The 14,297-nt window shown below is 38.5% G+C and overlaps 1 protein-coding gene across 5 annotated transcripts in view; it reads left to right on the forward strand.

The window, feature by feature from the left end:
* Positions 1-14,297, forward strand: part of PKD2 (polycystin 2, transient receptor potential cation channel) — a 70,143-nt gene that overhangs the window by 51,127 nt on the left and 4,719 nt on the right. For all 5 annotated transcript variants that reach the window (NR_156488.2, NM_000297.4, NM_001440544.1 and 2 more), the window contains 4 exons: positions 3,145-3,243; positions 6,613-6,734; positions 7,001-7,118; positions 9,137-9,300. Coding sequence is in view for 4 of the 5 variants with exons in the window: in NM_000297.4 (NP_000288.1) it covers positions 3,145-3,243; positions 6,613-6,734; positions 7,001-7,118; positions 9,137-9,300 (503 nt within the window). In the remaining variant the exon portion in view is untranslated. The remainder of the gene's footprint in view (positions 1-3,144; positions 3,244-6,612; positions 6,735-7,000; positions 7,119-9,136; positions 9,301-14,297) is intronic.

The following is a 14,297-nucleotide window of genomic DNA, read 5'->3' on the forward strand; positions in this document are numbered from 1 at the left end:
ATTTTTTTATTCTCTTGATTTGGTACAAATGAACATTTTTAATGTTTTTGCCCTAAGTCAATTAAGTTTTTTTAAGGTGTTTTGTTCTTTTTCTTAACATTTATATATTCAATTGTCTACTGAGAAGGTGTTAAGCCAGCTTAATTTAGGCAATATTTTTCATCTAAACACTAACAGTCATCTTAAGAACAATTTTCTTAAGAAAATAACATTTTTTCCATTTCAGTAAATTGTGTAAAGATCCCTTGAGGAAGGTTAAGTGATCACATTTTCAGTAATTCAGTGTAATAACTCTAAAGTCAGTCCAGGTATTACTGGTTAAGTATATGGTATTTATTGATTGGGTATTAGATGTACTGTATTAATTTCCTGTTTAAAAAAAATTTTTTTTCCGGGGAGACACAGCCTCTGGTGTAAAACAAAGGTGTGTTCCCTAGCTGTACTTTAACAGGACTGAAAAGGTCAGGAATATCATTCAAGTTCATATGTATCTTGCTGTATGCATGGTTTATGGCTCATTTTTAAACTTACACCTCTTAAGCTTCTTCTTCCTATCATATATTAAAACAATGGAGAGAAGAATAAGCCTCTGTTACTCTACCATTGATAGTACTTCGGATTCTAGAGTACCTGAATCTCTACTAAGAAGGCAAAAACCAGGAATTGAGAGTCCTGCACCTGACCCTTCAGTTGATCTCAGGCCACCTAGTTTTCTCCGTTTATCAATCTGCCAAACAAGGATGGATAGAGTCGTGGCAACTGGAAAGGCTCAAATGTGGAATTGTTTGAATGTGGTCCTTTAGTAGGCAGCCATCTTACCAGATCTAGAGTATTCAGTCATCTTACCAGATCAGTCACCAGAACATGAAAAGAAGCTCTTAGTTTCTATCTTTATACTAAAATTGTTTTTTTGTACGACTGCACAAAAAAGAATTGCTCTCCTTGCACCTCCCAGAGATATAGGTGGATAGATACATACATACGTACATACATACATACATACATACATACATACATACATAGACACATACATAGATAGAAGTCTACTTTCAATACAAACCTGTCTTTTAAGGAAATGACAAGCTGAGCATAGGGTTGGCCACCTTTCTGAGCCGATTGCCTGGTATTAGTTTATTGCCCCTGTTTAGCAAGAAGGCACAGTGTTAAGAAGTGGCTCAGCTGAACCAGGATAACCCCACTCTTCCCCCACATCAACAGGAAAGACATCCTGGTGCAGATGTCCATCTGATAATTCAGGGAACCTCGGGAGACAGGATGGAGAGGAGGGTGAGCTAGCTTCCTCTTCCCACACCTTCAAGAGCCTTTCTCAAGCACTTTCTATTTTTTGAAATCTCTTTAGAGGTCCCAGACTTTGATCTGTTTCAATTAAGGTATTGGCAGGCATTAGTTAACAGCCACTTGGAAGCAAAAATAGAACATTAGATCCCTGAGTTGGAAGAGAGAAGGTAGAAGGTGTTACTTGGACTGCAATTATCTGCACTTGGAATTGAGCATTTAGTCAAAAACTTATATGTATTCTATATTCTATTCTCATTTCTGCTACAGAATTGTAAACAATATTCTTCCTTAATACAGAAATTCATAGCCCACTAAAATAAGAGCGTTCTCATTTGTTCATTTCTCAATCATTTAATAAGTATTTACTAAGCCACTATATCCATATATATATATATATCATATATACTGTATAATACACACTGTAGTGTTTTTTGTGGATTGTGTACTATGAGGTAGTATGTTAGATACTGCCAGTACTGGGGTAAGGAAAACAGCCTGATTAGGCCCTTACGAAGATTCCTCAGACTTGTGGGGAAAACAGACATTATCAAATAGAAATACTTGCAAACCACAGTTATGTGTTAAAAAGGAAAAACAAAGTAAAAAAAAAGTTGGTGGGGGGGAACCTGATCTCCTGGATACAGTGCTTCGAGAAAGTTTGTTGTTGGAAATGCAAACCATTACTACTGTGGAAGGGAAAGGTCAGAAAAATGAACTCACCATTACTGAATAGTAATAGTAGCTATCAATTAGGTGGCACTTACCTGCATCAGGACCTGTCCTGAGCACTTTACATAGATTGTCTCACTAACCAGCCCAACAAATATGTAAGGGAGATACTATTATTTTTCCCATTTTATTAATGTAAAACAATTAAATAATTCTTTAAAATTAGACTTAGAAAAGTGGAGCAACAATCTTAGCAGTGCTAGGACTGAAATCCAAGTTTGCTTGACTCCAAAGTCTATCTCTCTTCCAGAAACTTTTTCTTTACTATCTGCCTAGTAGGCCTGCTGTATTCCTATTTGCAACAGCCTTTTAAACTCTTTAAAAATGTGTCCTGTAAATTTCATATATGATTATACAAAAAAACTTGGAATAAGCATACAATTCTACTTATCTGTGTTAACTGTTGAAATTTGAAGAGCTTTTTGGAATTCTATACCCTTCAGTAGTGTATGTAAAAGTTTCTAAATATAGAGAACATAGATAAGCAAAAATAATATTAAATAAAATAATCGCACCATTAGTAGGTAAATATACTAATATTTTGTTGTATTTTATTCTTGTATGTTTTCACAAAGTATATCATAAAATTTTTCCTGTGGCATGACTTAACGGAGAAAATAATCTTCCCAAAACATGTGGCAGCAAAACTGTTAATTTATTACATCAGGCTGGGCACAGTGGCTCACGCTTGCAATCCCAGCACTTTGGGAAGCCGAGGCGGGCAGATCACTTGAGGCCAGGAGTTCGAGACCAGCCTGGCCAACGTGGTGAAACACTGTCTCTACTAAAAATACAACAGTTAGCCAGGTGTAGTGGCACATGCCTGTAATCCCAGCTACTCAGGAGGCTGAGACTCAAGAATTGCTTGAACCCAGGAGGCAGAGGTTGCAGTAAGCTGAGGTCGCGCCCCTGCACTCCAGCCTGGGCAACACAGTGAGACTCTGTCTCAAAAAAAAAAATTTTTTTTTAAATAAATAAATAATAAATTTATGTCTTCATAAAGCACTCAGATTAGGAAAAAAAGGATAAACAAAAAGGCATGTGTCATTTTTTTGATTGATAATTCCAAATTATGTTTCTTCCTTTAATTTTTGCCCTCCTTTCATTTACAAACAGAATATGTTTTTGGCTATCATCAATGATACTTACTCTGAAGTGAAATCTGACTTGGCACAGCAGAAAGCTGAAATGGAACTCTCAGATCTTATCAGAAAGGTAGGAAAAACCTTAATTCTCAGAATTCTTCTGTTTCTGACATAAAATGAGCATTGTTTCACCCAGATTTTCAAATCAACATTGATCCATTGAAATTGTTTGAAATAAAGAATACATTGCTATATTTCAGGAATAATTTAAATGTTCCCTATCTTGGAGTCTTGATGGATATACTGCTATCTTGAATTTTAATTCTGGGAATCCTTTTATGCCCTGGAATTAAATTCTCAACAATCTTTTGACACTTTAAGAGCTGAGCTGAAGGTTCATCACCTTCATTATTTTGACATCTCCTGTAGCTGGCTCTCACTTCAGGATCCTGAGTTGAGAATAAACTAGAAGGGAAGATTATATAAAGGGATTTCCACCTCTTCTGTCTCAATTACCATTTTAAAAAAATAAAAAGTTTTAGAGGAAAACACTTAGTAGTTCACCCTTTACCCTTGACCTTCCACGGCAGTTTTAAAATAAGCAAAGGAAAAGATTCATGAATTCAGGCCATAGCCTGGGGCCTGAGAACTTTTACTTATGCACCTTCTCAGGAAGGGTTTCATTGTTAAATAGAAGGGCAGGACAGGAAAGTTGGGCCTCTTTGTTCTTCTCAATGTAACTTCTTTATTTGGTTTAAAGTATAAAATGTATACAACAACAAATAACCACATTTAAAATACACAGTTTGTTTCCCAACATCATTTTGCTAAGTCATAGTGGCTCCTTAACTGTAATTTTTTTTTTTATTAGTCCAAGCCTTAGGATTATGTTATCTGTGATATATGTTATAATAGAAAACTTAAGCCTCTTAAAACAAAGTCCTTGGGATGGGACCTAAGATTCACATTATCTTGATTCCGCATAACAGTTGCTTACATTTTAGCAAATCTCCAGTGTGTATGCAAGCACTCCTCACTTGGCACAATTCTGATACACACAAACTTTGGTTACCCCAGTTTTGTTATGTAACACCACCTTCAACAACACAGTTCAAATTTCAGTTATCATAGTATATTAACTCTGAGTAACAGCACAAAGTACAAACTCCACTGCTAGCTCTTCAGTGTATAGATCAGTTACCTGAGTAACAGATGTGCAGGCTGAGCAGGCTCACTGGTCAGTCATGACACTATTTTCAGTCTGTTACTAATTGGTCACTGAGCATCTGCTATCCAATTCACAAACAAAGAAAGCATGTAGTGTTGCTTCCTTGTGTTCCAGTAATAAGCCCATGTGACATTTTACAAAAATGGATAATTGAAAAAGAGAATGGGTGCAGTGGCTCACGCATGTTGGGAGGCCAAGGCGGATGGATCACCTGAGGTCAGGAGTTCGAAACCAGCCTGGCCAACATGGTGAAACCCCATCTCTACTAAAAATACAAAATTAGCTGAGTGTGGCGACAGATGCCTGTAATCCCAGCTACTGGGGAGGCTGAGGCAGGAGAATCGCTTGCACCTAGGAGGCGGAGGTTGCAGTGAGCCGAGATCGTGCCATTGCACTCCAGCCTGGGTAACAAGAGCGAAACTCCGTCTCAAAAAAAAAAAAGAAAAGAAAAGAAAAGAAAAAGAGAATGGGCTAGCAAAGAAATGAAAAATGGTAACACTGGAAGTGAAAATCAAAACAGAGTAATGGATTTATAGAAGAAATAGCTGAGTGAAGAAGAAATAGGAGTGTTGACACTGCGATCATTCAAGAGATCCAGATATGGAGCCAGAAGAACTTAGGGCAGGTCTATCAACTTAAATGAGGAAAATAGCTGTGATAAAACAGATGAAGATGTCTTGAGGAAATGATGCCTGCAAAAAACTTCACATTAAGGGAAGTCTTATTAGAGATATTTCACAATAATGAAAGTACAAAAGAAAAAATGTTGGGGCTGGACATGGTGGCTTACTCCTGTAATCCCAGCACTTTGAGAGGCCAAGGTGGGTGGATCACTTGAGGCCAGGAAGTCGAGACAAGCCTGATCAACATGATGAAACCCCGTCTCTATTAAAAATACAAAAATTAGCCAGACATGATGGTGCACACCTGTAATTCCAGCTACTCAAGTGGCTGAGGCACGAGAATTGCTTGAACCAGGGAGGCGGAGGTTGCAGTAAGCTGAGATTGCACCACTGCAATCCAGCCAGGTGACAGGGTAAGACTGTGTCTCAAAAATAAATAAAAGAAAAATATGTTGGAAGCTCATCCACATTTAAGAAGGAATATGACAATTCACTAATGCATAGAAAAGAAGTTCACTCCACATTGTAAAGTGTACAGTGTAATATTATACAATGAAAACAAGGCAAGTGCTGTTTAAACTACTCTGGATACATTTTTTACAAAGAAATAAAACACTTTAGTTTTTAATGTTTCTAATGTTTTACATTTTAGTGTATTAAATCAATATTAGTTTTCTTCTTTTTTAAGCTCCCTATACATTTATAACTGACACTAAGGGAGTGTTTAATGTTTTGATTAAAAGTTGTAAAGATCACAGAACAATTGTAATTCTTCCCACTGATTATTCAGATCATTTTGCACAATTTCAGCTTGCATGGTCACTTACAGTGCCGCACTATGTGCAAAGCAAGGTCAGGTCTAAAGTTCGCTAATGAAAAATCCTCGGCCAGGGGCAGTGGCTCACCCCTGTAATCCTAGCACTTTGGAAGGCGAGGCAGGCAGATCGCTTGAGCTCAGGAGTTCAACACCAGCCTGGGCAACATGGTGAGACCCTGTCTCTACAAAAAAAAAAAAATAGCAAGGCGTGGTGACTCACACCTGTAGTCCCAGCTACTTGTTGGGGGCTGAGTTGGGAAAATCACTTGAGCTCAGGAGGTCGAGGCTGCAGTGAGCCAGAATCACGCCACTGCCCTTCTGCCTGGGTGACAGAGTAAGATCCTGTCTCAAAAAAAGGGAAAATCCTCATCTACATTTCACTGGGTTTTTTGTTTGTTTGTTTGTTTGTTTATACACACTTAAGGAAATTACTGTCTAGAAGATAGATAATATAAAAAATAAAAATGCAATTCATGATTCGGGTTTCTTGGTATTCCTAAGAACTGTTGCACAGTACTTTATGCTCTGAGGCAGACAGCTATAGCATATATAGTAATTTTTGTTTCTATCACATAAACTTGAATACACATATGAGTAAAAGACCTTTAGTTCTTCATGACTTACTGAAAGACCCTGACTTTTTCCATGTAACTGTTCCACAAGTGTTTTATGGAAAACTGGATACATTAATTCTTCATTCATCCAGCACGTACTTGTTGAATGGCCAATGTACACCAGGTTTGTAGTAGTTACTACTGTGAATGGAAAGTAAAACAGATGCAAAAGGAGAATACACTAAACCAAGTCTTTTATTTTTTCTCTCTCTGATAGGGCTACCATAAAGCTTTGGTCAAACTAAAACTGAAAAAAAATACCGTGGATGACATTTCAGAGAGTCTGCGGCAAGGAGGAGGCAAGTTAAACTTTGACGAACTTCGACAAGATCTCAAAGGGTGAGAATCATGCTTCCTGAGGTTCTGAAAAATTCCTGCTTCTAAAGATAAATTCCTGGTGATAAGAGTATTTCTAGCCCAAGGGCTCATACAGATACTTTTTTTTTTTTTTTCCAGAGGCAGGTATCTTTCTGGAACATGTTATAAGAGGAAAACTTGCCCCCATTTGGTGATTTCTCCTTTCCTCCTGCATTTTGATGTCTCTGTGTTGAGGGTGAACTGGGTACAAGGAATGATTTTTATCTGTATCCTCTCTCTAATTTCAGGAAGGGCCATACTGATGCAGAGATTGAGGCAATATTCACAAAGTACGACCAAGATGGAGACCAAGAACTGACCGAACATGAACATCAGCAGATGAGAGACGACTTGGAGAAAGAGAGGGTGGGTCTGGTTTAGGAGAACCGGATTTGATTTGGTACCTACAACACCACAGATGTATCAAACACTATAGAAGTAGTGGGTTATTGAGTCTCTTGCCCATTCCCCACCACACTCTCTCTCTCTCTCAGTCGGTTTATGTGTTAGTACCCTGTTTATTCCAGAAAGAATATATAACACAATTATGTATAAAAATGGGTGGTTAGCATGATATAAAAACGTCAAAATGAAAAGCAAGCAAAACAAAAGTAAAAATAATGGATTATTAATGAAGCTTAAAAATGCATTCATAAAAACACATATGCTTATTAAGATTGGGCTACAAATTGGGCCCTAAGCTTGCTGGTAATCAGCTTGAAAAGAGAAGCCTGATTAGCTGCAGAGTCCACAATGTCCGTGAGAGTGAAGAAAACAAAAAATGACTTACCAAGAGATGTGAAATTATTCTGGTTAGTTAGTGGCTATTTAAATTGTTAACTTTTTTTTCTTTTTTTTTTTTTTTTGAGATGGAGTCTTGCTCTGCCTCCCAGGCTGGAGTGCAGTGGCACAATCGCGACTCACTGCAACCTCCACCTCCCGGGTTCAAGCGATTCTCTTGCCTCAGCCTCCCAAGTAGCTAGGACTACAGGCACATGCCATCATGCCCGGCTAATTTTTGTATTTGTAGTAGATATGGGGTTTCACCATGTTGGTCTCAAACTCCTGACTGCAAGCAATCTGCCCACCTTGGCCTCCCAAAGTGGTGGGATTACAGGCAGTAGCCACCGTGCCTTTCCTAAATTATTAACATTTATAATAAAATTAACAGCCGCCTTCCATTTGAATACTTTTTACAAAATAGTTAAAAATAAACATAAGTGGGCTTTTATAGTCAGAAAAAAAAATTCAAAGCTTTACCATTAACTTTCAAAAATAAATGGTTAGACAGCAACAACAAAAATCTGTGGTAACTGAGGTACAGAGAACACAGATGAATGTTATTACAAAAGCCACTTTCCTATGAGAAGTCTAGGACAGTGGTTTCTAAATGCCACTCCACAGACAGTGCTAGTAGGTGACAGACTTCTCCAGTCACAGTGAAATTTAAGCATAAAGAAAATGAGGAAAATTTTTACAAGGCTCTATTTAGACAAAGTTCTTATTCTGACATTACATCTTTCCTACTTTGGAGCTGTTGAATGTATTATCTTTTATGAAAAGAAGGCGATCCAGGTTGAGCATCCCTAACCCAAATATGTGAGTCTGAAATGCTCCAAAACCTAAAACTTCTTGAGCACAAACATGATAGTCAAAGGTCATGCTTAAAGGAAATGCTGTCATTGGAGCAGTTTGGATTTTGGGTTTTCAGATTAGGGATGCTGAACCAGTAAGTATAATGCAAACATTCCAAAATATTTTTGAAAATCCCAAATCCAAAACACTTCTGATCCCAAGTATTTCAAATAAGGGATACTCAACCTGTAATATATTTCTTCATTTCTTTATTTATTTTATTATTATTTTAAGATGGCTCATGGCCCACTGCAGCCTCAAACTCCTAGGCTCAAGTGATCTTCCGACCTCAACCTCCCAGGTAGCTCAGGTAGCTGGGACTGCAGGCATGCATCACCATGCCTGGCTAATTTTTTAAAAAATTTTTTGTGGAGGCAGAGTCTCACCTTGCTGCCCAGGCCAGTCTCAAACTCCTGGCTTCAAGCAGTACTCCTGCCTCAGCCTCCCAAAGTATTAGGATTACAGGTGTGACCACTATGCCTGGCCCATATTTCTTCATTTAGTTTTTTCTTTGCCTGCTGTGTTTTTAATGTTCTTTCTTGTTCAAACAAAAAGTTGGCTATTCCTTGCTGTTAGTTAAATTTGCCAATCTATGAAACTGAAAAATGCAGGAGTCCCAGCCTGGTGTTAAATACAAAGAAATCCCAGGTAAATGGCATGCACCCAGTTCCTGCTTGCCCAAGTCCTTGGTGAGGCTTCTGTGGGGTCTCAGTGTTCTGCTCCTCACTCAGTGACCCCTTGTTCTTCAGGAGGACCTGGATTTGGATCACAGTTCTTTACCACGTCCCATGAGCAGCCGAAGTTTCCCTCGAAGCCTGGATGACTCTGAGGAGGATGACGATGAAGATAGCGGACATAGCTCCAGAAGGAGGGGAAGCATTTCTAGTGGCGTTTCTTACGAAGAGTTTCAAGTGTAAGTATAAAGGAATTGGCAGAATTTGCGTTGACAAGAGTCCACATGAGACCAGGCAGTTCCCTCATCTCTCTGAATTCACTCCTTTCCATTACTAATCATCCAGCTTTTAAAAATAACTTATACTGGCCAGACGCAGTGGCTCATGCCTGTAATCCCACCACTTTGGGAGGCCAAAGCAGGCAGGTCATGAGGTCAGAAGTTCGAGACGAGCCTGGCCAACATAGTGAAACCCCATCTCTATTAAAAATACAAAAAATTAGCTGGGCATGGTGGTGGGCACCTGTAATCCTAGCTACTTGGGAGGCTGAGGCAAGAGAATTGCTTGAACCCGGGAGGCGGAGGTTACAGAGAGCCGAGATGGCTCCACTGCACACCAGCCTGGGCGACAGTGCAAGACTCTGTCTCAAAAAAAAAAAAACTTGTCAATTGGTGTTTTGTTTCTTACATAATATGTTTACTATAAAAATTAGCAAATAAGAGCAAAAGAAAACATTAACATTTCACATATTTCTACCAATGAAAAATGTTTATTAATATATCAGTGTTTGTGTCTCTATTTGCATGTGTTTATCAATGTTTCTATATATTTTTATGGCCTAACATATGGTTCGTCCTGAAGAATGTTCCTTGTGCATTTGAGAAGAATGAATATTCTGCTGTTCAAGTGTTCTGTAGATGTTTGTTAGGTCTAGTTTGTTTACAGTTTTATTCAGGTCTCCCATTTCCTGGTTGATCTTAGATGTGCCTAGATGTGGTATTCACGTTTGAAAGTGGGGTATTAAAGTCTCCAAGTATTATTAGTTGGAGTTCATCCCTTCAATTCTGTAAGGTTTTGCTTTGTGTATTTTGGAACTCTGTTGTTGGGTGCATACATATTTATAACTAGTATATTTTCCTAATATATTGACCCTATTTTCTCTCTCAACTTAATGAGGCTAAAGAAAAAAAAGAATTGACCCTGTTTTCATTACAAGATGTTATCCACTTTATCTCTAGTAAAATTCTTTGTTTTAAGTATTTTTTGTTTGATATTACTGTAACCACTCCAGCTTTCTTTTGGTTGCTGTTTGCATGATAAATCTTTTTCCATCCTTTTACTTTAAACTTATTTATATCTTTCAGTCTGAAGTATGTCTCTCCTGTAGACAGCATATAATTGGATCTTATCTTTTTATCCAGTTTGACAATTTCTGTTTTTGATTAGATTGCTTAATCCATTCATTTAATGTTATCATTGATGTAGTTGATTTCTGTCTGCTATTTTATTTTTTGTTTTCTAGCTTACTTTTTTTTGTTCCTCTTTCACTGCTTTCTTGTACATTAAGTGAATATTTTCAAGTATAACATTTAAATTTTTTTAATGATTTTTCATTTTTTTTAGTCAGGAGTTGCTCTAAGACTTAGTTTATACAATTAAGTTATGAAAAATTACTTCAGATATATATTAACTGAATCCAGTGAGATATAGAAATCATTTCTATTTAGCTTTTTTCCTCTTCCCTCTTTTTGTGCTATATATTCATCTATCTATATGTATATATAGTCATCTACATATGTTGCAAATCACATTGTTAGAACAATGTTACATTTTTATAACACACTGTGTAATATATAGTATATAATTTTATATCTCTTAATGAAGCTGAGAGAAGAGGAAGTATATATTTATAAATGTGTATATTAACCTACTTTTTTACCATTTCTAATTCTCTTCTTTTGCTCCTCTGGATTCAAGTTATCATCTGTCGTCATTCTCTTTCTCCGATACAGCTTTGCTACTGCCTACCTCCTATTATTGTCAAATATATTACATTTCTATTATAGACCTTCAGATCCAATTATGTACATATTTTTACACAACTGCTTTTTAAATCAGTTAAGGAACAAAAGGAGAAATGTACATATATACTATATTTTATACCTACACAGTTATCTTTACCAGTGTTCTTTGCCTTTTCATGTGGATTCTGATTACTATCTGGAGTCACTTGCTTTCAGCATAAAGAATTTCCTTTAGTATTTTTTGTAAAGCAGGTTTGCTAGCAATGAATTCTTTCATTTTTTGTTTATCTGAGAATGTTTTTCTTTCTCCTTCATTTCCTCTGGCTTGTATTGTTTCTGATGAGAAGACAGGTGCTAATTTTACTGTGGTCCCCTTGTACATGATGACTCAATTTTCTCTCACCACTTTCAAGATTTTTTTGCTTTTGTCTTTCATTATTTTTACTGTGATATGTCTGGGTATAAATCTCTGAGTTCATCCTACTTAGAAAGTGTTTTTTCTGCTTCTTTCACTTTCTCTTCTCCTTTGGGACCCGCATTATGCATATGCTTAGGGGTATCACATATTTCTCTTAGGCTCTGTTCGTCGTCATTTTTTTTCCCTCTCTGTTCCTCAGAGTGCATAGTCTGTATTGATGTATCTTCAAGTTCACTGACTTGTTCTTCTGTCAGCTTGCTTAAATCTCTGTTGAGCTCCTCTAGTTATTTATTTATTTATTTATTTATTTTATATATATATATATATATATATATATAGAGAGAGAGAGAGAGAGAGAGAGAGAAAGAGAGAGAGAGAGAGACAGGGAGACAGGGTCTCACTCCATCACCCAGGCTGGAGTACAGTGGTGTAATCATGGCTCTCTACAGCCTGAACACCTGGGCTCAAATGATCCTCCTGCCTCAACCTCCCAAGTAGCTAGGACTATGGGCACATGCTGCCATGCCTGGCTAATTTTTAAAAAAAAATTTGTAGAGATGGCATCTTGTTATGTTGCCCAGGTTGGTCTCAAACTCCCGGCCTCAAGTGATCCTTCCGCCTCGGCCTCCCAAAGTGCTGGGGTCACAGGTATGAGCCACCGCACTTAGCCTGAATTTTTTATTTATTATACTTTTCAACTCCAGAATTTCTATTTGGTTCTTTTTAGCAATCTCTGTCTCTTTATTCTGTATTTGATGATATCCTGTATTTGATGAGACAATGTCATCATAACTTCCTTTTTTTTTTAAGAGATAGGGTCTCTCTCTGTCACCCAGGCTAGAGTGCAGTGGCATGATCCTAGCTCACTGCAGCCTCGAACTCCTGAACTCAAGCAATCCTCCCACCTCAGCCTCCTAAGTACCTGACACTACAGGCATGAGCCACTGTACCCAGCTAATTTTTATTTTTTGTAGAGATGGGGTCTAAGTTGCCCAGGCTGGTCTCAAACTCCTGGGCTCAAGTGATCCTCCCTGCTCAGGCTCCCAAAGTGCTGGGATTACAGGCATGAACCACTGGACCCAGCCTCCTTTATTTCTTTAACCATGGTGGGGTTTTTTATTATTTGTTTGTTTGTTTTAACCTGTTTGAATATATTTATAATAGGTACCTTCAGGTCTTTGTCTGCTAAGTCTGACATCTGGGCCCTCTCAAAGACAGTTTCAGTTGTCTTTTTTTTTTTCTTCTTGTGTATGGGAACATTTTCCTGTTTTTTTGTTTTGTTTTTTGTTGTTTTGTTTTGTTGTTGTTGTTGTTGTTAAAGATTGGACATGTTAGATAATATATTGTAGGAACTCTGGCTAGTGATTCCCTTTCCTCCCCAGGACTTGTTTTTATTTCTCTTTGCTTGTTTACTTTTTCATACAGTCTGTTTCCCCACAGTGTCTGCCTCTGACTTTATTCCTTAGAGGGCGCAGCTGTGGCCATGTACGTAGTCACTCTGGGAAGACAGTGGTTTTAGCAGCGTGCTCATTAACTTTCTCTGACCTCTTTGTTATACCTCCTGCCTCTGTGGATATTAGACCCAGTTATTACATTTCATTGTTTACTGATTGGTCTATTGTTTTCCAGAATGCCTTGGGATGTAATTTGCTCCACAGTCTGATCCACTTAAATTCAGGCCTCTTTGCAGGGCTAGTTTTAGAGGCCAGTCTTTTTTTTTTTTTTTTTTTTTTTTTGAGACAGAGTCTCACTCTGTTGCCCAGGCCGGAATGTAGTGGTGCAGTCTCAGCTCACTGCAGCCTCAATCTCTCAGGCTCAAGCAATCTTCCCACCTCAGCTTCTCAAGTAGCTAGGACTACAGGTGCACGCCACCATGCCTGGTTAATTTTTGCATTTTTTATAGAGATGGGGTTTTACCATGTTGCCCCGGCTGGTCTCAAACTCCTGAGTTCAAGCAATCCACCCACCTCAGCCTCACAAAAGGCCGGGATTACAGATATGCACCACCACGCCTGGCCCCTGAGGCCAGTCTTTAACTGTCTTCTTAGCTGTCTCTTTCCCTGGTTCTCTCTGGTGAACTAGCTGGTAATTTGTTTATCTCATAAGGCTACCAGATTCCTTGTAAATGCTTATCCCCACAATCTCCATTGTTTTCAAGAGCATCGTTAGTCTTTAATTTCCTCACGCTTCATTCCAAATAAAGTCCATTCACTTGAGAAGAGTTCTATATTCCTATGACCTGTGTCTCCCCATGAGCAAAACTGCTACTGCTTTACAGAGCCAGGGACAGTGGCCCACCTCTCTGTGGCATCCTGCTTTATGAACAAGTCACTGGGCTCAGATGGCAGTCTCTGATTTTCTCACCTTGCTTCTTCTGGCATGGAAACTCCACCCTACAAGTGGGAACTGAGTGGAAGAAGAGAGCCCCATTCCCCTTAGCCACTCTTAACAGGATTAGAACCTCTGCAACATGCATTTAAGAATGGGAACAGGCTGGGCACAGTGGCTCACGCCTGTAATCCTAGCACTTTGGGAGGTCAAGGCAGGAGGATTGCTTGAGCCAGGAGTTCAGGACCAGCCTGTGCAACATGGTGAGACCCTCATCTCTACAAGAAATAGAAAAATTAACTGGTGGGTTGTGTATACCTGTAATCCCAGCTACTCGGGAGCCTGAAGTGGGAGGATTGCTTGAACCTGGAGGCAGAGGTTGCAGTGAGTCAAGATTACACCATTGCACGCCAGCCTGGGCAACAGAGTGAGACTCTGTCTCAAAAAAAAAAAAAAAAAAAGAGTA

Source organism: Homo sapiens, chromosome 4, assembly GCF_000001405.40.
Source record: "Homo sapiens chromosome 4, GRCh38.p14 Primary Assembly".
NCBI classification, from domain to species: Eukaryota; Metazoa; Chordata; class Mammalia; order Primates; family Hominidae; genus Homo; species Homo sapiens.